Source organism: Homo sapiens, chromosome 10 (assembly GCF_000001405.40).
Source record: "Homo sapiens chromosome 10, GRCh38.p14 Primary Assembly".
In the NCBI taxonomy this organism is placed as follows: Eukaryota; Metazoa; Chordata; class Mammalia; order Primates; family Hominidae; genus Homo; species Homo sapiens.
In genome coordinates, this window is record NC_000010.11 from 49011145 (window position 1) to 49036453 (window position 25309).

Genomic DNA, 25309 nt, shown 5'->3' on the forward strand with positions numbered 1-25309 from the left:
AGGTGCCCAGCTGCCACCTTCCAATGAATCCTCCCATCCAGCCCTGCTGGAGAAGGCTGGGCCTCAGCTGTCCTCCAGGGTTGGGCAGGGAGGCCACAGACAAGAGCCAGGGCATGAGGAGCTATGGAAGGGGCAGAGAAAGCCTGAGTCCAGATCCTGATGCCCACCCTGCATCTCTGTTACCTAAACTCTCCTTTAAATCGTGGTCTTTTGTATAAATGGTGGGGAACGAAAGGGGAGTTTAAGTAGACAACCTCTAGTATCTCTTTTAGTGAGGACATCCTATAGAGAGGTCATGTTCCTGGAAACCAAGTCACCATCTTCTGGCACCTGGGAAGGCCTGCACTGCTACCTGGGGGTGGAGATAAAATCTGCCACTGCACAGCGAGGGCCTCCTGAGTCCCACTCCCCGGCCAGGGCCTTTCTTTGATTGTCCTTCCATTAACGTGCCAAAGAACACCCAGAAGGCATCTTCCCAGGTATCCCTGGGGTCAGTCCTTATTATGCTCACCTGCTGCTTGCCTCCTGAGGGCTGAGGCACTTCCCATTGAACTTGCCAGCTCTGTGCTGCCACAGGGGCTGCCATCACAGCCAGCAGCCATGTCAGTGGTGATTGGGGTTGGGAGAGCATGGGACCCCACCTGGGCTTCCTGCTCTTCCGGTTCCAGATGCTGCTGAAGACAGGGCTGGGTGGCTGGCTGCCTGTGGGGATCTCACCAGTCCCAAGGCCTGCTTGCAGCGCACCACGGGCTCTGATCATGGCCAATGCTGCCACTGCCATGGGACACGCTCATGCCCAGCACAGGCCTGCTCTTGCAACCGTGAAGCTCCACACCACGCTGGGCTGGGCTTCCAAGGTGGCAGCTCACAGCCACCGAGGCCTGGGTCAACAGCACAGAGGGGAAACTGCAGAAAGGTAGGCGGGAGCCAGGTATGAAGGGCCTTGCTACTCCTCGAGGTGCTGGGCATCCTGAGGGCAGTCGGGGCAGGATGTTGGGCAGGGGTAACTCGGCCAGTCTGCATGTCGGAGGGTGGGTTAAATGGCAGGGAACAGGTCAGGAGTCAGAGTGGTGGTCCATGAGAGAGGTGATCAGAGCTGATGGGAAGCAGGAGCTATGTGAATGAAGACAATGGGGGAGGTGCCGGCATGCAGGGGAGATGGACAGGAGAGAGGAGGGCTCCAGCTCTGCCATCCTGGGCCAGCTAGCTGAGGTCTTCTGCTTCTTCATCTGCAAATTGGCATAGAGTAGCACTGGCTTAATGAGATAAGACAGAAAACATACTTACCACAGTGCCAGGCACCTGGTATTTTCAATAAGTCAGCAGTGATTCCACTGCTGCTGCCGGTGGCCCATATCTCCAATGCTAGATTTGCAGCTTTAGCCATGGGGTGAGCGGTGGAGCCCTAACCAGGATGGCTGGGTATCAAGAGATGCAGGGTGCTCTGATGCATTCAGTATTGGGTGTATACTTCCAGGAGTCATGAGGGAGCTGCAAGGGGGGAGCTCGTGGGTGGACATGGAGCTCAGGAGAGGGCTCCACGGGGGCTGTGGAGGTGGGGTCCTCGGGATACAGCTGAACAGTGGTTGAAAATAAGACATTCTCTGCAAGAGAACACATGCTCAGCAGCGAACCCCAGAGGGCTTGGGCAGAGCTGAGTTCAGGGGAGGGGGAGCAAAGGCAGCCAGCAGAGGGTGAGAGACAGACAGCAGGGAGCAGGCAGTGTAGACTCCAGGCTGCAGAGAGAAGGAACCAGAGGAGAATAGTGGCTTGGGAGGGGTCTGTGCAGGTTGAGAAACACTTGTCATTTTGGAGATAGAAGGAGAAGTTGAATGTGCAAAAAAGATGAGGGGTTACATGGTAAAGGAGAACCCCAAGGAAACTAGAAATGAATCCTGATGAGGTGGAAGAATGAGGAAGCAGGAACAAGACATTGTAAGAATGAAAGAGCAAAAGAACTAACACAACTAACTCCATTTTCAATTAAGGGAGCCCTTATCCATTCCTGCACGTAGGCTAGGATAATTTTAGGGCACTGAGATAAAATGCAAAAACAGCAATCATGTAGTTTTTGAAACTGACTCTGGGATTAAAGGAGAAGTATGTAAACAACTATGTTTCGTTGAAGGTTTATAGGAGCTTTGTGATCTGACCAAGGACAAAGGAGTTTCCAACTTCCTGGACCCTCGCTGGTGCCCAGATGTTAGCAGTTGTTGGTCATGTCTTTAACATAAAAAGAGCCTAGAATTTGTACTGACTTGAGATGGTCTCTGCAACACTAGTCTGCCATCTCCTCAGGCTGCCAGCTCTTGAATAAGCCTGCTTTTCCTTCCACTAAATCTTGTCTCTCAAGTTTGGCTTCCAAGCAGTGAGCAGGAGAACCTGATTTCAGTTACAACATTTTAAGGAATTCCAAACTGACTATGAAATGGGCTGGGGTGCAGTCACAGGGCACTCAGAACTGGGGTACTGTGAGAACCTGGGAACCCACACATGGGCTGAGGGAGAAAAGAGATGGAGGAGACCCCACAAAGGGGAGGATTGGGAGCCCCAATCCTTAGCTGAGCCAAAGATCAGCCCTGCAAGAGGTCAGGGTTCTTCCAGCCAGCAGGAGTGAGGGTGGGAGCAGAGAGGCTTCCTGGAGCCAGAGCTCAGTGCAAGGGGCAGTTTTAGGGTTAGAATGCCTGGGAGGTCGCCAGGCTGGCAGGTACCTTTCCATCTCCTTAGTTTGCCCAGCTTCCTCATGATGTTCTCTGGGTCCATTGTGGCCAGGACACTGGCTTAGGACCCTCTCTAAAGTCTCCATCTTTTGTGGACCACAGACCCCTTTTAGAAAACTGAAGAGAACATCAGACCCTCACACACACAACACAAACGTCTGCATAAAAATTCCTGGGTGTTGTTGGCTTCCCTGAGATCCATCCACAGACCCAGGAGTCTGAGGTACTAAGTGTACACATAAACAGGAAGTAATCACCCTGGCCGCCCCCAGCATGTAGAAAGCTGTCATAAAGGAAAACAGAAGGCTGATTCCTTCAGCACAGCCCAGAACCCCATACAGACCACCTACTAATGAGCTTTCTCCTCGTTGTTGATGGAGGACGCTTGTAATAAAGTTTAATGTGGAAGAACAAGGTGCATTTAACCAAAGCTGTAAACATCTCTAATTATATTTAAAACTGTAGAGTGCAGTACATTAACATTTAACAATCAGACACTAAATTGGAGTGACGCTAATAGCATTGTGTTTATTAGAAATTGGGCACCAAGTCGTCTTTCACCAGTGACAACAGAAGGAACAGAAAACCTCCATGGCCACCCTTCCCCACCACGCTGCGTGTTCAGGAAGAGTCTTGTCCAAATCCCCACCCCCTGAGAAGATGAGGATTGCTCTGGGGAAAATACACTCAGCAGACCAGACACAGCTCAGCGCCCACGTCTGTTAGCCTTAGGCACTGGGGAATGTTTTTTTTTTCCCAGAGAAAGAAAGCACTTTTAAAAAGCAGTAATCAATTAATTCAGAATGAGCAAAGGCTTAACCTCTATTCTCCCTGCCCTCTGCAGAGTTCACACTGCAGATCCCTTCTTCCTTTGAGACACCCCTAGGAGCAGCTTTCTCCTGGCTCTCCCCTGCTGCTGTGACTGTCACTGTCCTCTGATCTCCACCTGGATCTCCTTGCCTGCTGCATACCTGCCAGCATGGATGCTCCCCACTGCTCAGGCCCAGCCCTTCCCCTCCTCAATGTGCAGGCAGCCTCTCCCTGGGACTCTTGCCCGCTGTCAGGGCTTTGGCTGTGACCTATGCCCTGAGGACACCCCCTTTCCCGCAATGAGCACCAGATCCATGTTTCCAACAGTTTACATCCTTGTCACTCAAAGTGTGGTTCAGGGACCAGAAGCATGGACATCCCTGGGAGCTTGTTAGAAACTCAGAATCCCAGGTCCTATCCCAGACCTCCTGAGCCAGGATCTACATTTTTTTTTTTTTTTTTTTTGAGACGGAATCTCACTCTATTGCCCAGGCTGGAGTGCAGCAGCACGATCTCGGCTCACTGCAAGCTCCGCCTCCCGGGTTCATGCCATTCTCCTGCCTCAGCCTCCCGAGTAGCTGGGACTACAGGCACCCACCACCATGCCTGGCTAATTTTTTGTATTTTTAGTAGAGACAGGGTTTCACCGTGTTAGCCAGGATGGTCTCGATCTCCTGACCTCATGATCCGCCCGCCTCAGCCTCCCAAAGTGCTGGGATTACAGGCGTGAGCCACCGTGCCCACCCAGGATCTACATTTTAACAAGATCTCGATGATTTGTGCATGCATTAAAGGTTGAGAAAGCACTAGTCTACATGCCCATCTATCTGGACACCCCACAGCCACTCCAGCCCAGCATGGCCATGCTGAATGCAGACCCCTCCCCTAGACCACGAATTTCTGTTTGGTTTTCCTTCCTGATGAACAGTTTCTATCCTATGTATGGAGATGGGAGTGTGGTCTGGAGTGGGGTCAATGTCCCCGCCATGTGGCTGCCTCACTTTTTAATGGGCTCCAAATGACACAGAGCTGGGTCACCTGGGTCTCACTGCAGTTTCCTGGATCAGGGATACTGGAAAGATGTCATGTTCCACATGGACACCAGCCTAAGCTTTAGGCTGACACAAAAAGACTCCCTCCAGCATGCAAGTGGCATGGCTCTTTTTTGTTACCACGCTGTTCCCTTCCACTTATTGGTGCCAGTGCCCCTCAGTCCTCCTCTGGTCCTGTTGGTGTCCCTCTCCAAATCTGAGGCCTCCCTTCCTTAGGGAGAGCATCAGTCCTGGAGCCCTCCATCGGGAGCTCTCCATTAAGAAGGGCATCTTCAGAACCCAGGGTGGGGCCCACTCGGGCAGCAGGACACACGGTGCAGCAGGAGCTCAGGGGCTGCAATGCAGCCACTGGGTGTGACCTAATTGGGCACCCTGGGTACTGATATCAGTATTTTGTTTGTTTGTTTGTTTGTTTGTTTTGCTTCCTGTTCTGGGAAGCAACTTTGATGCATACTGTATTCATATTCTTTATGCAACCTGACTGGCTTGACCAAAACCAGGATTTAAACAGCAGAGTAATTAGAGAGTTTATGGAAGAGAAGAGTCTGGGGATGTTAGGGACTTGGGTAGAGTCCTGCCCTTCCAGGACATTCTCCTCCCTGCTGCTTGCTCAGTGTCTGTTGCCTTCCAAGGCTTCTCCACTAGGCAGGAGATGTGGCAACAGATAGATATGTGCCATTCCAGCTTCACTGCCCAAGGCAAAGATGATTTCTTTCTCCCCAGGATTTTGATATTCCAGGGGGCCATGTGCATGCTTAGGACCATTTCTGGCATGAGCTCCATTCTTGGCTCAGCCTAGGTTACAGTCATGCATATCAGAGGCTGTGATGAGCAGGGCCATGAATAATTCCCAAAGCGAGGGGGTCTTTGGGCTCATTGCTGTGTGGGCCAGCCCACATTATCATACACTAAAAATATATTTTCTAAATGCCCCATGTTGTCTTCACTCTCACAAGAGTCAAGAGGTGGGAGGCCTGGCTTTTCCTTATTTTCCCTGTGAGCTAACAGAGTGGCGGTACATTCGTAAAAAGGTGACTCTAAGGAATCCCAGGCCTCTCCTCCACTACAGCTGCTTCAGGGCAGGCCTCGGGGCTTTGGCTTGGCAAGACAGTTTCACCCAGGTGGATGCCCCTTCATACCTCCCGGCTTCCTGTGCTGACTCCATGCCAACCATGCCAAGGCCAAAACTCACCACCAAATCTGAGAGCATCTGCTGTCTGCCTGAAAGAAGCCACTGCACTCTAACCAATGGGTTCATACTTCTTTTAGCTTCATTTAAACATTTAAGCAATGGTCTATTTTGAAAATTACTCATATGTAGTTTCTGCCATTGATGCCTTATAGTGAAAACAAATTGACAAACTTTCCCTAATTTCTATTTCAATGATATGTGATATGTTTCCCCTTATCTTTGGAAATGACAATGCATGATTAGTGGTCCATGGACAAAGAATGAATGAGTGGGCACATTTTTTTAAGCTTACTATGGCAATAATGTCAATATATCCTCTCAAACAAGCACCTGATACAAGTCATCCATTGCTTCCAGTTCTGAGCACAGCTTGGGCATTTGCTTCTGGAGATAACAGTGGGACCAGCTCTGCCTGGATGCTGTCCATAGCTTCCAAGATTCCCCTGGGCAGCATTTTCAGTAGGAGGAGATAATCTGCAGGTTCCCATTCACACACCTTAGTGTGGATTCATGCAGTGATGACCACAGTTTGGGAGAAAGAGGCTGGATTCAATCTATAATATAACAATGACTGGTTTGACTCTAACTGGGAGCTACTAGCTCTTAAGAGCATGTGTTCTTGGTAGAATGTGTTCCTGTCCATGCATAATAACCCTAAGCTCTCTTTGGATTTAAGTGGGTGGGTTTGGGGGTGAATGAAGTTCATTTCCGTTCTGTAGAGGCCTAAGGGGCCTGGGAAGATATTACCCCCTGGCCTGTTGCCCTCTTCCCGCCATTTCCTTTTCATGTGCCCCCTCTCCTTCCCATTTGGCACCCCCAGAGCCCCACAAACCCATAAGGCTCTTTGGGCAAATTAGGAGATCATCCTCTGCCCTCAAAACACTATACATCTGTCAGAACACTGCCATGATAAAATTAAAAATCCCTGTGATAATTATTATATAAATGGTGTGCTAACCATATATCCTCCCCTCCCAAAGAGATGCTCAAAGAAGTTCTAGTGAGTTCTTCCAAATGGTTCTTTCTTCCTCAAAAGCTGCATGGTTTATTCAGTGCCTTCGAGATCTGGCAGAGAGGGAGGAATGAGACACAGGTGTTATCCAGAGAGGGTGAACTTCCACTTTGTAAAGGCAGACCAGTTTGCTCCCAGAAAATCAATATCTGCTTCCAATTTGGACCCTTTCCAATAAACCATAAACTCTCATGAGTCTTTGGGAACATTACTGTAGGGCTAAGTTGGTGGACAAATATTTGGTTTTTAAAGTTATTGCAATGAAAGCCTTAAATAGTGAAGAAATTTTCATTTTGAAAATGCAGACTGGCTTTAGCATGAATGTCAACACAGAGCATTTGTGTAGCAATTTACAGTTTCTAGAACTGGCAAGATTCATTATCCCATTTTACCCTCAAGAATTCTATGGGAAGTTAAGTCGTCTTTACACAAACATGGAGTCTGAGGTCATTAGGGGATAAGAAATTTAGCCAAGTTCACACAGCTATATAGAGGGCACAACTCATACCCCAGCTGTGTTTAAAATAGATAATTTATCATATATACATGGTCCACTACATAGTCAAACAATTTCTATAGTGGGCAGTAAATAGCCACCCAGACTATACTCACATCAAGAAATGTCCTCAATAACACAGTTGACAGGATGGTGCTTTCAGAATGGATCCCCTGCCAGTAAGTCCAAGATTCCTGTGTCCCAAAGGTCCACAGAGCAACTTCCCCATGCACCCTGACCCCCATTCAAACCCATTAGAATTCACACACAAGGTTGCAATGGGCAAGGCACTTGGCAAGAGGAGGGTCTTCAGAACACACTTTCCAGCTTGGCGTGTACTTCCCACTCTCCTACCCTGAGGGCACCTGGCAGCAGACACCTTCAGGGGCTGAATCAGAGGTGACTGAGCTTGGCACACAGTGAAGAGGCCCATGCGCTCCAGTGTGTCTTCTGATGGCCAACACCTGTGCTCCTTTGGAAAAGGGTGAGTAAGCACTTCTTAGAGAGTGTGTTTCTCTATCAGTACAGGTCCACCTTGTGAAAGGGCTGGAAGCCCTCTAGAATGGTGTTCTTCTTGTCCTGCGGCCTCAGGGTCTCATAGGTGGGCACCATGGCATTCAGAGACAGACCTTATACTTCTCTAGTCAGTCTGCCCCTCTGGCCTTAATCTTCAGGGTTAGTGCATCTATTTAAAACAAGAGATGCCATCTCAGGTGGTGCTGGCAATCAGCAGTTGGCTGTGGCCCTGGCAATGCCATCTGATCCTTGGAAAACCAACATATGTGCCATCTTACAGTTGGGTCCATAATGGCATTTCCTCTAGCTATATACTGTGAGCTTGTATCGTGGATACAGGAAGAGTAGAGAGTAAAATTAAGATTTAAAAACGATTTTAAAGAAAACCTGGGGAAAGAGGAGAAAAATGTGAAGGGGTTTGGCTCAGCAGAAAATCTCCTTGGCTGCTCTCAGGATCAGAATCCTTACGCTCAGGGCTCAAACCCAGGCGCATCTTGTCCCGGGAGATCTGTCAAGAGCTGTGGCCCCGATTCTTTTGGGGAGAGCAGGCTTGTACCTCTTCAAAGGCACCCAGAATGCTGCTGAAAAGGGGCTCCCCACCACTCAGAAGGCATGAGTGAAAATACAGACATAAGGGCTTTGTCTCCAAGGCTTCATAAATCACTGGGTGGCAGGTATTAAATAGAACCTTGGAGGTGGACGCTGTACTACAGCTTGTTCTCCTCGAAGAGGATCTGGGCGTAGACAGTGCTGGTGGGGGCGCCTTTGGCAGCCCGGTGGGGTTTGATCAGCTCCAGTTCGGCATAGGTTAAGTTTTCCTCAGCAATCTTTGGCTATAAAAGAAAAAACAAAACAAAACACAATTCTAGCTGACCACAGGAGCTCTACATCACACATTCATTCATCAAGTATGCATGTTCATAGCATTTTGGGATTCAGCGAGGGATAAGTGGACAAGAAATTTAAGAGGCTACATAATATCCAATAACATAATTAATAAGATAGATCTCATTGTCTTCTATAGAGCACTACGTCCTGCAGTGAGATCCTGTGATTTGCTTTCAAGTTGACATGAAACACTCACAAAAAAATGACTAAACACAAGGCTAAAATGAAACTTTAATGCTGAAGAGTAAAAATAATGTAACTAATGGTCTCTGATCAAAAGGGAAATATAAAAGTGGAGATGGAAACAAAAAAATTCTAAAAATTAATAACAACACTAGAACGCCACCACTTAGAAATTTTTGTAAATGACTTAGTATAAAACTATAATTTCAAAATATCTTGAAAATAATGCTAAGGAAAATATTCCTTGCCAAAACCTAAAGCCTATGTTTGAAGCAGTGCTGGGAGAAAACCATGGCCTGAAATACTTATGCTAAATAGCATGAATTAAGTAAATCAGGCCTCCAACTCAAGCAGTTAGAAAAAGAGGAATAAAATAAAGAATAGCAGAAGGAAGAACTTCATAGAAATAAACCCAGACTGCATAAATCACCAGTAAAACAGATAAACTGAAAAATAAATTAATCAAGATAAAAAGGGAAAAAGCGTAAGTGAATAAAATAAAAAATAAGATAAGAGACATAAACAAAATGAAGGAAGTTTAAAAATGCTTAAACAAGACAGTTTGCTGAATATACTGAAAAAACTTTTAAATACAGGATAAAATGCATTATGTTCCAGAAAAATAGAAATTATAAACATTAACTCCAGGAAATCTGAATGTACCATCAAAAAGAAGGAAGGAAAGAAGGAGGGAAGAAGGAAGGAAGGAAAGAAGAAGGAAGGAAGGAAGGAAGGAAGGGAGGGAGGGAGGGAGGGAGGCAGGGAGGGAGAGAGGGAGAGAGGGAGGAAGAGAGGATATCATTTATTAATACAAATTTTAAGTTAAATTTACTCAGAGAGAATGAAGTACATTAAAAGATAGATAATCATATTCAAGTTTATTCTATTCCAGAAATGCAAAGATGGTTTGATATTAAAAAGTCTATTAATATAATTCATAATAGTAATAGATCAAAAGAGAAAAGTCATATGATTATAGATGCTAGAAAGGTACTTAATACAATTAAAAACACATTTTTGTTTAAAACAATTTTTGAATGAAGTAGGTGTAGACATATATTTTCTTAATATGATTAAGGAATATTATTAAAATAAAGAATAATTGCTTATTCAAATCTAGTGATATTAACAATTAAACCTAAAAGTTATTTTTCAATAAATGCTGTTGGAATACTTGGACAGCCATTTGAGAAAAAAAAAATCACATCCTTATATCATTCTTCACCCCAGGTTAATTCCAAATGAATTAAAAATTTTAATGTGGAAAATAAACCTATAAAAGTACTACAAAATAGGTGGGGAGTTTTTTAAAAATAGCCTCCAAGTATGGAAATAATTTTAACATATGACACAAAACCCAGGAGCAAAGGAAAAAAAGATGTGTGTACATTTTCATGCTACACATGGCAAAACAGTCTCTAAATAAAATTTAAAAAAACTGAAAAAATGAGGAAGATATTTATATCTCATATTAAAGGGATTTGCAATTCAACAAAGATAATAATCAAGTTTCCACTAGCAAATCTGGCAAAGGACAACAGACAGGACCAGCAGTTCATGGGAAAGAAAAATGCAAGCATCTCGGACACAGATGAAATGATACTCACCCTCTCATAATCAGAAAACCGACACTTAAAGTCACACTTAGACATCATTTATTTGTCTTTCAAGTTGCCAAACATTAAAAAAAAAAGGTTGACAAAACATAGAGGTCCTCTCCTATACTATGGGTGGGAGTCTTTCTTGGTACAAGCAAATAACTGTAAACACTTAAATAGGTATCAGTAGGAGATGGGGGCATTCGTATAACGCAATATACGGTGCAGTCTTTAAGAATGAGGGAGGAGCTATATGTGTACTTTATATTTCACTATCATATCCTGTGTAAATATGCATGTATGCGTGTATGTAAGTAAATATGTGGGTACATATTTTACATACTTAGAAAATCCTGGGAACTCTCGGCACTCGTTCAGAAAATGGAGAGCACATTAACCATGGCTCTTTCTAGGGAAGTAACCTGAACAGCTGCAGGGAGACTCAGCCTTCACTGTGTACATTTGTTGTTACCTTTTGGATTTTGTAGTAGGCATTTTTTAATGCATTTATTTTTTTTTATTTAACAATGCATTAATTAATTTTAACCCATAATTAAAAAAATAAAAGTTGGTCATGAATTTATAGTCACACAGACATTTTCATTTAAGCACCTCTGCTCTTTATAAGGATGTCAGACTTAGGGTTTTTTGGTTTTGGCTTTGGTTTTGTTGTTGTTTGATGGACTTTTTAAAAAAAGTTTGTATGCCTATTTCCTGGTTATCTGGTGGAAATTCCAAACAACTAAACCACCTTCATTCAATTTAAGTTTCTTAAAAAGAATGCCAAAAGCAAAACACTTCTTTTCTTTTGAGATGATGCACCCCAAAAAGGCACGGGAAGTAATAGACAAGGAGAGTTACAAAGAGTTCTTCAAGCCAGCACCTCTGCTGGGGGTGACTGCCAAGTGACCTAGACGAATTGTCTAGCAATTTTTCAATTTCAAAGTTAAGATCATTTATAGGGATGGGAGCCTTCTGCTTGCCTTTTGACACCAAAAGTCTTTACATTTCTTCTTAGTCATCCATATCTTACAAGCAACAAAAACCCTGTTTACATTCTCGCTTTTCAGTTTAATTACATTTCCCATTATAATGATTCCATTTAGAAATGCCATGTGTCCTCAAATAAGCACACAAAACCCAACTCATGTAAATTTTAGCACCAAGATTTATGAAATCATATTGTCCAGGTGTGTTATTACATTACCTTGAAATTGCATTGTTTTCTAGTGTAGATTATCTGTTTATTCTTAAGTTATTCCATTACGTTTGGATATGAAAAATAACACTAGCTCTTTCAATACAGGTCACCAGGCTGGCTTGGCTGATGTGTTGTTTTCATACATTTTTATGATGTTCCTATAGTAAACATAATTTAATAAAGCCAAAGCACACTAAATAAATAATTGCATCTAGAAAAGCAATAAAAACAAATAAAAGTAGTACTTTCATAAGTGGAAAAGGTACTTCAATTACTGCTACAAGCAACAACCCACCATAAAATGTGTAGAATCATTTCCCTTATGCATATTTCTGGAATATAATAATTTGATTGAAGATACGAGGCAGCTCACAGGAGGCTCAGAACTGTGAAGTGTATAGTTTCCAAGATAAGATGCATAATATCAGTCCTTGGCATCTTTAAAGAACCTATTGTTTTTCTGGCATGCACACTTGGCTATCACAATCAGCCATGTGCCTAATTACATTTCCCAGCTTGTTTAACTGGAAATAAATTCCTAATGGCCAATGAAAGGGGCAAATGCATATTCCTCACTGGTTTTCACCAAACTACGTTTCTTTGCACTAATGTTTCAGTGGAAGGTTTAAGGTGCATTTGAGGAGAAGCTTAGAGAAAATTTTTGGCACATCACTAAGACTAGGTAAACTAAAAAACTGGTGGTAAAACCAAGAGCCAGGAGCTGAAAGCAGTGGTTAAAGCAGGTGGTTGCAATGGGGCACAGCCTGACGAGGAGCCTGTTGCAAAGCCTCACCTTTACTTCAGATGATACAAGTTTACTGCTATCTTCAGTAGACAAGCCCAAACTGGATTTAAGCTAGGGAATCACTCCCAGCATCTCTAAAAATGAATGAGGAAGCACTTCTGTTAATTTCCTGATAGACGCTGGCTTCAAAATGACTCTCTTCAAGCCCCCACCCTACTCTGGGGGATGCAGGAAGTACAGAAGGTTGCGGAGTGTTAGTACAAATTGTGGAACTCAGGATAGAAGCTTCAACAGTGTTGAACTGTCTATTCACAAACACTCTTAACGACTGTAAATTCCATTGAAAGCCTCAAGGAAACTGCTTGAAGGAGGAGTTCCAGGCCTCAGACCCGGACCGAGTTTTACATTTATATCCAGATGTTGTAATCACTGGAAAACAGACAGCAAGAGTGAACCAACTGCTGCTGGGAAGTCCTGGCAGAATCCTTTAGAAAAAGCCCTAGAACTTTCTAAATATGTGAGAAGCAACTCGGCCATTTCCTCTCTCCCAGGGCTGTTTGGTTTTACTTTATTTTCCATTTCACCTAACCTGCTGTTACTCCTGGTCAGATTCTCTTTCTATTCCTCAAATAAAGGCCTGGCATTTGTTGTATTCAGCTGCTTGGTATTTTGTGTGTCTCAAATCCCTTGTTTCATGGACCCTTAGTCTCACTTTTCATATTAGAAAACTACCAGACAGGGAGAAAACTACCAGCCAGTGAGAATCCACAAGTAATTCTGGAGGAGGATTCTATGAGCAAGGGGGGATGGAGGGTCAGATACACGCACGTATTGATGCATCAAAGGAAGGCTGCAATAAAGGGAAATTCTTCTAACTCTCAGATCAATGAAAGTGTTCATGGAGAAGAGGTGAGGAGAGTGGCTGAGGCTATCGTCCTGGGGCTGACAGCAGATCATGGGTGCAGGAGGAATTTGGATCTTAGTTTAAAGGTCAGCTGTGTGACCTTGGGCCAGTTCCATCACTGGAGCTCAGAGATAATACCTACTTTGTTGGATGATTATGAGGATTGAAATGAGGTCTATGTAATGTTTTGGCCCAGCAGCTGCCCCATAAAAGGTGCTGAACATGTGTGTGCTGAACAAATCAGTGTTTCAGTGGCATCACCTCCTCTCTAGGGTCAGCTAAAATAGCACGCATATGTGCACGTTCTGAATGCTTCATAAGTTAACAAGAACTTTGTGAACTAAGTAGCCCTGGGTATCTTTTGACAGGTAAGGAACAGATTCTAGGAAATTAGTTGTTATGGACTGAATCTTGTTCCCCAAATTTCCTGTGTTGAAGCCCTAACTCCTAAGACCTCAGAATGTGACTCTATTTGCAGATGGGTTTTTTTAAAGAGGTAATTAAGTTAAAATGAGGCCATTAGGGTGGGCTCTGATCCAATTTGACTGGTGTTCTTCTAAGAAGATGAGGACACACACACAGAGTCAAGACCACATGAAGACACAAGGAGAAGGCGGCATCTGCAAGCCAAGTTGAGAGAGAGAGGCCTTGGGAGAAACCAACCCTGCCAGCACCTTGAGCTCAGACTTCCGGCCTCCACAACTGTGAGAGAATAAAGTCTGTTGTTTTAAGCTGCCCTGACTATGTGACTGTGGTGTTTTGTTATGGCAGCCCTAGCAAATGAATACATAAGTCAAGGTGAGGACAGAAGAGAATGGAAGAAAAGAAAATAGCCTTCCTGAAGGGGAGATGAGAAGAACTACCTGATAGGGTGGGAGAATATACGAGATTAAGGCATTTATGTCAGCAGCAGAGCACCCTCCCCGAGACAAGGCAGGGGACAAAGGTCTGATACATTTACCCCTGGTTCAGTGAGGAGCAGGGCTGGAGGAGAAAGGCTCTAGGACTTCCTCACATGGCACCCTGCCCCCACACACACCTCCCATCCCCAGCTGCCTGGCCCGCCATGGCCAGGCCTCGGCCTTGACCCTGGGCTGCAACAGATCTAGCTGGGTTGCTGGCAGCCCACACAAACCTCCAGCTTTCTGGAAAGGGGGCAATGGTGACTGCCATGCTGACTGGTATGAAGGGCACCTGGCTCCAGCAGGGGAGGGAAGCTAACAGAGAAAAGCCACCCAGGTGTGGCTGCCTCCATCTGAGCAATGCACCTGGCTACCAAGTGACCGGCACACGGGCTAGCTGCAGGACATTCCTGCCCTCTGAACTGCACCCGGGGCCGAGACAGATCCTGCAGTCAGCTGAGCACACAGAGGCTGTGAGTGCCAAGGGTCAGGTTGTTTCTGCCCCCAAACCCTGTGTTCCATCTGCCATTCTGCAGCTCTCTCTGAAGCCACTTTTCTTTTGTTGCCACATTTCATGCTGGGGATGTAAGGAGAAACAAAATGACATGCAGAAGCAGCCCCACCTGAGGAAGAGACTGGGCTGAGGTTTCAAGGTAGAAGACAGAAAAATCCTAGAGGAAAGGGCTCCTTGCCCAGGGAAGCTATCATACTAGGTCTGCGTGCTCGGACTTCCCTGGGCACAGCCTCACTTCTTCCAGGGAAAAACAAACTAGATCTTAAGACAGAGAGGCAACATGAATGAAAACCAAGGCCAACCTGCTCAAGATGGTAGAGAAAACAGACCGAGGAGCCTAGTGTCTGCCGCCTCAATGAACCACTGGATTGGCCCTGGGTCTACCCAGGGTCTCCAGGTTTAAGTGACTGAGAGTTGAAATTCACCCCATGCTCAGCTCTCCCAAGACATTCTGTGGGGCAAGAGTTGTTCCCACCATGATGGGAAGCTCTTCTATAATATGTCTATTAAGATAGGTGCCTTTTTGTAATCTACCTAAAGGTGCCATATAGATGGGCAGTGGCCCTGGACTATGCCCAGATATCTTGTCCTAAAACACAAATAAAAACCAATCTGTTTCAAGATAAAGTGAAATACATAAAATAAACCAAGGCTTTGGGAAGTCACACTCCCAGGGCTAAGCAGAAGTGACCAGATGTTGGGAGGTGGTGGCGTTTCATCTCTGGGTGCCACCCTGCCATGGTGGCAGCCTGCTGCCTGCTGCCCTCCGTGTGGAAAAAGAGGGCCCAGCTCATGGTGGGAGAGGATGGTGGGGCTCAGGATGTGGGTGTTGACAGGGGCAGGGCTGGGCCAGAAGATTTATTCCCTCACAGCAGAGGAACCCGCTGCTACCTGACTCAGGGATGTTTCTGACCTGGGTTCTCTAGCAATGAAGGCCACAGGTTGCAAAACCCTGAGGGAAGGCGTTTCTTTACATTGCACATCCTGTGACTGCTGAAAGTACCAAGCCTTACACTACGGATGCAAAAGAGCCATGTGATCTGCTCAGTCCTCTTTCCAGGCTCCTCCCTGAAACTTCTCTAACAGGGGAGTACAGGTTTCTGTTTAAGTTGATCCCCTCCGCATGAAACTCTTGCCTGTCACACACAAGGTGGACCCCTACTCCTTCAAAACCCACCAGGCCCTCTGAATGCCCTGACACTGATGCCATTGGCGGCCACACTCTCCTGCACTCACTGCACCTGTGATTTCCTCTGACCCTGCACAGCGAGCTACTGGGATTCTGCCTCGCCCTCTCTAATGACCATGATCACCATCACAGAACTGCTCCCTGGCCAGTGAAGGAAGGCATTTTACAACAAACTAATGACCAACTCATTCATTTATACAAGTAACATCTAAGAATGCTCTAAGCATGCATGTTTCTGAGCTATGTTCTCAAATGTGTGCCAGGCCCCCCACGCTGCAGGCATGTTCACCAACATGTGTCCACAGACTCAGCCCTAGGATTACAGTTCCACTCATGCCTCCTGCTGTGTCTCCGATGACATAATGGAGGTTTCTCAAAATTTTATTTTATTTGTTTTAAATGACATGGGGTAAAATTGAGTTTTGAGGTGCCCAGTTCTAAGAATTGTAACACAGGTATAGATGTCTGTAACCACTGCCACAGTCAGGTCTCAGGACAGTTCCATCACCCCTGCATGCCACCCCTCTGCAGTCCCACCTTCCCTCCAGCCCGACCCCTGGCAACCACAGATCTGTCTTCTGCCACTATGTTTTGTCTCTTAGAAAAGGTGATGTACAAAGAATCATACAGTGTGTAACCTTCTGGGATTGGCTTTTTTTACTGAGCATAATTCCCTGAAGATTTATCCCAGTTGTTGCAAGCAACGATTGTCTGCTCCTCTCTGTTGGTAAAGAGTATTCCACATGCTGTAGCTAGCCATCCACTCACCTGCTGGATGACTTGTGGGTTGTTCCAAGTTTTTAGTGGTTATAGAGTTGTTATAAACGTTCAAATATAGGTTTTTGTGTGATGTTTTCATGCCTCCAGAGTAAATACCCAGGAGTGGGTTTGCTAGGCCACATGGCAAGTTATGTTTAACTTTGTAAGAAACTGCCTATTTGTCCAGGGTGGACCATTTTGCCCTCCCACCTGCAAAGCATGAGCGTTTCAATTGCTCCACATCCTTGTCAGCGCTTTTTTTTCTTTTAGCCATTGTTCTAGGTGTCAGTAGCACAGTAATTACCTTTCCCTTATGCTTAAGGAACTTTCCCATCCTAGACTTGAACTCAAGTGCTCCTGGATAGCTGCTGAGCCAGATTAAATTCTTACATAGCACAGTTTCCTCTCAGAAGCATTAGGAAAGGATGATCACACAGACCAGGTTTAAAATGCAGTGATGAACCTTCCTGGACTCTGGGCATCACAAAGTGAGTCTGCAGTTTTCAGAGCTTGCAATGGCCTGTCTAGCCTTCTGTTCTGCCAACAATGAGGTACTATAACAGCAGGTAGCAGCCTCTGGGCTGAATCTCCCACCTCTAATGCAAGCCCCTTTTCCCCCAGTTTGAGGGTGATAATCATGGAAAGTATGTCCATGGGGAAGAACTATTTGATTTGGCTACTGAGAGAAAAGTCAACCTCAAGGAATTCTGAGGTTGTGCACCTTTCTGGAAGATAACACACTTTAAGCTCTTAATGGATAGTTTCTGAGTATATCATTTTGTAGGTGTCTTTCCATGATTCAGGCTGGAACTTAACATTCTTACTAAGAGAGGTTTAGCATTCTCTTATGCAGACTCCTGCAAAACAACACTTTTTCACAGAGATCACAGTTGGATGTGTAACTTGAATTAAGTCACGGTAATAAAAGAAAAATGCAATTGCAGCCTCTGCAAGTTCTCTCAACATCAAAAGTTCAATTGGGTAATACCATTATCACAGCAACAGATCAATAACTGGGACATGGAATGTTTATGTTAACGTCATCTTAGAGTTTAAAAATGTGACTGCAGCTCCACAGAGCTGCACTATCAGGAATCTATTTACCCATGAGAGAATTACAAATTATCAGGGGCAGACTTCCTCTTCTACCTGCAAGATAAGTGCTCATTTTTTATTCAATGGAGTAACTTGTAAAACAAACTCTCCCCTAACAACAGCCACTGCACATACAACTATAGCCACCAAGGAGCTTGAGGCTGTGCATTCAGAAAGCTCTATTTGACAGAGGGTCTCCTCAATGGGTCTCCATAGTACCCAACTCAGGAGAGTAAAGTATGCTGTGAAGCTTATCAGTCCTACTATCATCGACATGCCTTGGATATGAACTTGACTTAATCTCAAGTACCATGGGTGCTGATTGGCAAATTTATTTAAATCTATTATGAAAAGAGAATATAGAGTTCTATGGTGTATATGTTAAATAAAAATAAAGAAACAAAAGAAATGTCTTTCCAAAACAAAGGACATAATCCAGAAGTGGCTTTGGGAGGTAGCAGAGTGTGGTGGCTGAGAATTGGTCCTTCTGAGAACAGAACTCAGAAAACACTAATTTTCACCATCTCGCTCCATCCTCATGCCAGCACTGTGAGGCAGGGCCAGTGATTATGGAGTCTGGATTACAGGTGGTGTCTGGATTCAGAGCCAGTCAGTCCTTCCCAGATGCTCGTGGGCAGTCCCAGGCATCGCAAATGCATGCTCAGAGGCAGAGTCTATGCTCTGATGTGAATGCCTTGTATCCAGGTGAGCAGACAGGCAGACAGCAGTCCCTTCCCAAGAAGTAGGCCTGGGATGCCAACAGGGAAAATAGTGAAAAGCCCTTGGCATGAATTGTTTGAGGTTTTGGAACAATCCCACACCACTCAGTAGGCAGTATGAGCTCCAACTAAAGGGGAAGTTGGGGGAGAAGGGAACTGGCCCCATCCTCATCAGAGGCAGGAGCCCTGGCTTGGTGTGGAGAAACAGAAGACTTGAGGCCACAGAACCCAAGACTTCCCAAAGATAGAAACATGGAGCTGTCCCTGGTGGGAGAGGGTGATGGAGGGGAAAGAAAGAATCTCACTGGAACACCTCCAGGGGGCCCCGCACCCCTCTCTACAGCCTCACCCCCAGGTTCCCAGTGTACCTCTGGGTGGCATGGGATGCAGCCACAAGGCTGCAAGGCTCTGCTTGGGCCAGGCTGTGTGTGGGGTGGCAGCAGACCCCTGAGCAGAGCTGTCTGCTGGATAGGTGAAAATATGCAGCTGAGTATCCAATGGCTACTGAAGACGTCCAGGGGCATTTTCAGAGGTAACCGTTAGAGCCACCACCAGGTCTACTCTCACCATCTCCTTGGAGCGGAGGCCACTGGTCCACTGGGACCTCTGGCTCTAGCAGCATAACTCATAGTAGGTCTTCACTCAGATGTGAGGGCTGGAATCCAGTTGCACTCCCAAATCCAGCATTCTGCTGTGACTGCTGACTTAGGTGTGCCTTGACCCAGGGTCCAGAGACACATGGGGCCTAGGCACTCTCGGAGGCACCAAACGCCCCACCTACTCTGCAGCTTCAGGTATAAATGAGCCTTGAGATCATATCTGGCCAGATTCCCCCTCCACCCCACCTCTGCATGGTCACCCAGGGACTGAGAGCCAGTCACCCAGCATGCTCTAGGACAGTGGGAGGACTGGAAAAGTCTGGAGCTCAGGAGAGAAGTCTTGGATGGATATGAAGACGTGCACTTTGGGTTGGACGAACTCACTCAGAAATCATGAGCAGAGCAAATTCGCCTCAGGTCCTTGAGTCCAAAAAGTACACAGGATGTTCAGCAAAGTGCGTCCTCAGAATGGATTTGACATGACAGAAAGTCACCACCTAACTGCTTCAAGGACAGGCAGAGGTGACCCCTTCGGGAGCCTGCTAAATCTGGCATAGAAAGACCCAAGGCCAAATATTATTCGTTCAAGTTTCTACAAGTTATCAGACAGACAGATGCCTGTCAATGTCACCAACATATGTTTTGGAAGCTAAAATGTGATTATAGACAGTGTTCTTGGGGAGAGTCCTAATACCTGGAACTTTCAAAGTCTCACAGCAACTGCTCCATGGTCTAACATGGTCATTCATTTCCTCTCCCCTGTGGTCCATAGATGTTTGAATTCCCAGCTGCCTTTCAAAGGACTGTTACTGGCAGTACTATTCAAGAGGATGCTTTTGCTTAGAAAAAAGGGAGCCTTTGGTTATCTACTTCAACATAGATGTTCATGCTGAGAATTTGCAGACTTGAACACTCTCAATATTCTGATCAACTGCAATCTTTAACACTCTCCTAGACCCATCTAATTGTGCAAGGGCCTACTTAGGAACATGTGCTCTCAGAGACAGGAAGACTGCCATTTACTAGCTGTGTGACCTCGGACGAGGTACTTCACCTCTTTATTCCTCCATTTCCTTATCTACAAAGTGGGACTCATAATAGTAACTATCCAATAGAGTTATTTTGAGGATTAAATGCATAAAAACATGTAATGTGCTTGAAAAAATACCTGGTAGGCATACAGTAAATGCTATACAAGTGTTTGATTATTACTATTGCTACTATTTACATTATAGATGATAAACAAGTATTGTTTAAACAGTCCGTTGCTTTGAAATATTTACAGGTAGAAAGAAGAAAACACTTTGAGACGTTTTGGAAAGTATATGTGCTAAACGCTAATGAACACCACTGTGTCTCAGGCCAGGGCCAAACACATCTGGCTATTTTATTTTATTTTTTGGTAGGAAAGACAATCCTTCTAAATAATAAGTCAAACCATGCCACTCACTGCCCTGCACACAGTTCTCCAGTGGTTTCTCATCACATTCTGAATCCAGAGTTCTTATCAGGATATCAGCATGGATAAGGGTCTTGATCCTTCATTACCTCATCCTGTGCCTGCCTCTGACCTCGGCTTGCTCCACACGTCCCTCTTGCTGACCAGGGCTCCAGCCACATGGATCTCCATGTGTTTCCTGGACACACCCCATATGGCACTGTTCATTCAGGGTCTACTTCAGGACCTTTGCCCAGGCTGTGCTCTCAGCCCAGCCTGAGATGTTCTCCCCACAGAGCCATGTGTCTCATTCCCTCACTCTCAGGTCTCTGCTCAACTGTGACGTCCTCCCCATTGAATACAGCCCCCCACCCCCAGCTCCCCTTGCCCTGTTCTACTGCTCTCAGAGCACATATCACTCCTTGGTATTATAAGGTATCATCAATTTGGTAGCCTTCTGTCTTCCTCCACTAAAGAATGTGACAACAGCACCTAATATTTACTTAGTACAACAACTAGTCTATGTGGAAGTTACCCTTATTATAGTCCTCATTCGACATGTGCAGAGATGAAGGTGGAGAAGTGGCGAGCATGCAGACAGTAGCTAGTGAGCAGCATGGCTGGTGTAGAGCCGGCCTCTGACCACATCACTGGGCTCCCCAAAGGCAGTGACTCCGTAGCTTATTTACTGCTGCATCCAGGGCCGTGTGGATAAATGTTGACAACAGGCTTGACAGGAAAGAAAGCTCTGATGTGAGCAGTAATTTCTGATTTTCATGTGTGACTACCCTTACCACAGCTAATTTCAAGGTGCCAATGTATGTGCCCCCTTTAGTGGATGAGAGAGGCTCGAGGATGCTGCTGGCTGCAACTTCAGCTCCTAGAAAGACATCTGACTCAGGCAGCCATTTTTGAATGAATGAATGAAAAAGACAAAATGAAAGAAAACCAGTCTGATACTGTCTTTTAGCACCCCCACCCCCATCTGCCTGGCCTCAGGAATGTAGACAGGGACACTCTCCTCTTTCCAATGAAACTCTTTCTTTCTTTTAGCTTCTCTAGAGGTTCCACGACAACACTCTAGCAAGAACACCTGGGTTCTGCTGCTTGGAGTCATCTAAAATCTCCACATGGCTTTTAACTTACTAGTTTAAAATATAGGTAGAAGATAGATCAATAGAGAGAGAGAGAAAGACAGAGAGAGAGAGAGAGAGAGGATATCTTCCATTGGTGAGGGTATGAGAAAGTGGTCACTCTGATTCTTTTTTTTTTTTTTGGTGGGAGAATAAAATAGAAAAATACTTTAGGAAGTTAATTGGGCAGACTCTATCAAAATTAAAAATGAGGCTATACTTTCACATAACGATCCCACTTCTAAAAATCTCTCCTACAGAAATACTCACATAAAGTTATATGTGAAAGGATGTTTACCAAAGCATCCATTCTAAGAGTGAAAAATTAGAACAACCTAAATGGCCAAGAGTTGCATACTGGTTAAAGAAATGATGATACTGTAACACTTTGCAGTCATTAAAGAATGAGGTAGATCTATACGTACTGATGTAGAAAGATGTGCCTGAGATATTGTTAATGAGAAAACAATTCAACCTGTGAACACTGTGTAAAGAATCATTCCCATTTTTAGGGAACTTGGCACACAGAAATGGATTTGTCAGAATCTGTAGCCATGACCCACACTAAATGTGGGTGGACTGTATATACATATTGGGAATATATAATAAATATGGATCTACACTTGTATATACAAAAACAATTTAGAAGAATATATGCCAAACTCCTGACAGAGACCACTTAGAGGAATAATTTCACTTTCTATTTTAACAAATGGAGATTCTGATTGCCGGCCTACTTCTCTATCACTGTCCAATGAGGTCAAGACATTAAACACCCTGAAAACCCAAAGACTCAGACTTTACCAAGTACTTTTGACAAAAGGCATCAGAGCTCAGAGTGCAGTGGGGAAGAACAGGGATCTGTGGCCAAGTGCCTGGTTGGAGCAGCTCTGCCATGTCCTAGTGGGAGACTTTGTATTAGTATTTACCTTCCTGTGCCTCCTCTAACTCATCTGTGAAATGGAGACAATAAGAGTTGTCTCAAAGTTAAAGGAGTGCTTCTCCTGGTAAGCACTGGAACAGTGTCTGCATGTGGGAAGTGCCATGGAAGGGTGAGCATTATCATTATCATCATTATTACCACCGCCATCACCACCATCATCATCACCATCCTCTTCATCATCACTACCATCATTATCACCATTACCATTATCACCACCATAATCACCATCATCATCACCATCATCACCATTACCATCATCATCACCATTATTACCAACACCATCATCATCACTATCATCATCAATATTACCATTATTATTACCATCACTGTCATCACCATCATTACCATTATCATCACCATTATTACCATCACTACCACCATCATCATCAGCATCATCACCATTACCATCACCGTCATCATCATCACTACCATTATCACCACCATCATCACCATCATCACCATCACTATCACCATCATCATTATCACCACTATCATCACCATCATCAGTACCATCATCAATACTATCATCATCATCACAGTAGTGTTAGGTCATAGACATGATGTACAGGGCACAAACCAAGCATTAAAACCAAATCTAAAATAGCAGTAGGTATGCCTGATTATTTGTTAAATTCATGTTGCATGCAATGTCGGCAATGGGCACATATGACTGAACTAACAATTTTTATTCTTCATCTTTCTATGAACACTCTCACGATAAATTTATGAGGCTATGTCTTATTGTCTTTTGGTGATCACATGTGCTCGTTGGAAATTCATAAATTTAATTTTAAGAAGTTATAATAATAAATTAGAATTGATTCTGGCTAGGAAAAAAAATCTCCTTAAATGCACCATAAGTTTATTGCAAACTCAGAATTTTACATAGAAATTTTCTTCTTGATATTTTGGGTGCCTAGCTTGATGTTACAGATATGTTGATGATGTTTTTCTTTTCTTTTCTTTATTATTTTTTTTTGAGACGGTGATGTTTTTCTTTCTTTCCAAAATGGCACTTTATTTCTAGTATTCTCCATGTAGGACTGAAAAAGTCTTTTAATAACTCTGAGGTACTCTGTGCTCAAAACTGAAGTTTTAAATGAAATAGGCTTTAAAAATGTGAGCAGAAATGATATTGTTTCATGAGATTTCAAAAATAAAATGCAGAGAAAAAGTTTTTAAAAATATTTCCCAGCAGTGCAATGATCTCAGAAATGAAGTGCCCAATAACGGCAGCAAATCAGCCACGCTGAGATGGAAAACAAGCTACTGCTCTGCAGGGAGGGACAGTCTCTGCAGGCACGTGGGGACAGCGTGCCCCAGAGTGGAGCCGCACCATGACACCTGGGACCAGGGTGGACTGCACAACCAGGAAAGGCCACCCATGGGCTGGCCTGCTGGATGTGCAGGCCTGCCTCCTGCCTAGGCCATCCTCCAGCCCAGCACATCTCCCTGCACCTGCTCACCTTGGTCAGGTGACTCCCAGGCTCATGCTCCCACCTCTCTGGCACCTTGCCCCCTGCCTATCAGCGCTCAACAATTATTGGGGAATGAATAAATAGAAGACTGGGAAAGCAATGTGAATGAATCAGTGATGCATTAAACAGGAGAAGCACATAGTCCTGAGGGGGCCAATTCCAAAGTCAAGTTCCTTCTCAAAGCACAAAGCCACATTACCCTTCTAGAACAAAGTGGGGACAACTCTGTTGGTAGCAATCTGCAGTAGGATTCCCTTTGTCTCCCAAAAGGGAGGCCTAAGGAGAGCTTAAGGAGCTCCCCAGTTTTAAAACATTTCTTGAGGCCAGGTGCAGTGGCTCACACCTGTAATCCTAGCACTTTGGGAGGCCAAAGTGAGAGGATTGCTTGAGGCCAGGAGTTTGAGACCAGCCTGGGCACATAGCGAGATCCCAGCTCCACAAAAAAAAAAAAAAAAAAAAAAGTTAGATGTGGTGGCACATGCCTGTGGTACCAGCTACTTGGGAGGCTGAGGCAGGAGGATCAGTTGAGCCCAGGAGTTTGAGGCTATAGTGAGCTACGGTTGCCATTGCACTCCAGCCTGGGCAATAGAGCAAGACTCTATATCAAAAAAAATAATAAATAAATAAAGACTCCTTGAAAGTAACTGTGTCACTTAGCCCACCTTCAACAAAATTGGAGCCCCAGTGAATTTCTATTGGTCTCTGACACAGCTGAGAAGCACGTGACCTGGTTCTTGCTAGGCAAGTGTTGGCAGGGGCAGGCAGTAGAGGGGCCTTGGCACTAACTGTGTGGCCTGCAGGGAAAAGACAGCCCTGTGTCAAGGTTAACAGACTTCCTGATACAGGATATTCTCACTTCCAGTGTGGGAGAGATATGATCTTGATCACATCCAGCTTACCGAACGCCGAGATACCTGCTCTCTCTAGACTGGAGGAAGCCATGAAAGCAAATGGCTTCTGTTTTCCGCACGCCCATCCCTTCTGAAGCCTCAGCATCCGTTCTTCCCTCCAGCTGACATACATAACTCCCCGCAACAATAATGGGCTGTGCATGTGTACCTAGGGGAGCATAGAAATTTTATCTCTGCAAAAATGGTACTAGCGTGGTACAAGCAAAGTTTGTATTTTTTTCCCAAGGCTTTTACTTGGGGCAATATATTGTACATGTGGTTGTGGCTTTTTTTCTTCTTTTTAATTTTAAATCGAGATTATGAACATATTTT

At 44.8% G+C, this 25309-nt stretch overlaps 1 protein-coding gene across 4 annotated transcripts in view, besides 1 other annotated feature; it reads right to left on the bottom strand.

Moving 5' to 3' along the window:
- Positions 776–1031: a silencer, noted in NCBI's record as "fragment chr10:50219965-50220220 (GRCh37/hg19 assembly coordinates)". NCBI's record gives its function as "represses an EF-1alpha promoter that drives an FKBP-Casp9 reporter gene in an ReSE screen in HepG2 liver carcinoma cells and K562 erythroleukemia cells {active_cell/tissue: HepG2 | K562}" and the evidence as "EXISTENCE:reporter gene assay evidence [ECO:0000049][PMID:32094911]".
- VSTM4 (V-set and transmembrane domain containing 4) overlaps positions 3092–25309 on the bottom strand; it is a 101287-nt gene continuing 79069 nt past the window's right edge. Inside the window, exons 8-9 of one of the 4 annotated variants that reach the window (XM_047424711.1) lie at positions 25001–25145; positions 3092–8631 (exon numbers count right to left, since the gene is read on the bottom strand). In XM_047424711.1, coding sequence (XP_047280667.1) covers positions 8618–8631; positions 25001–25145 — 159 coding nt within the window. In that variant the 3' untranslated portion in view covers positions 3092–8617. Of the gene's footprint in view, positions 8632–24985; positions 25146–25309 lie in introns of all 4 variants that reach the window. The other 3 variants (XM_017015827.3, XR_001747052.3, NM_001031746.5) reach the window with 3 other exon arrangements.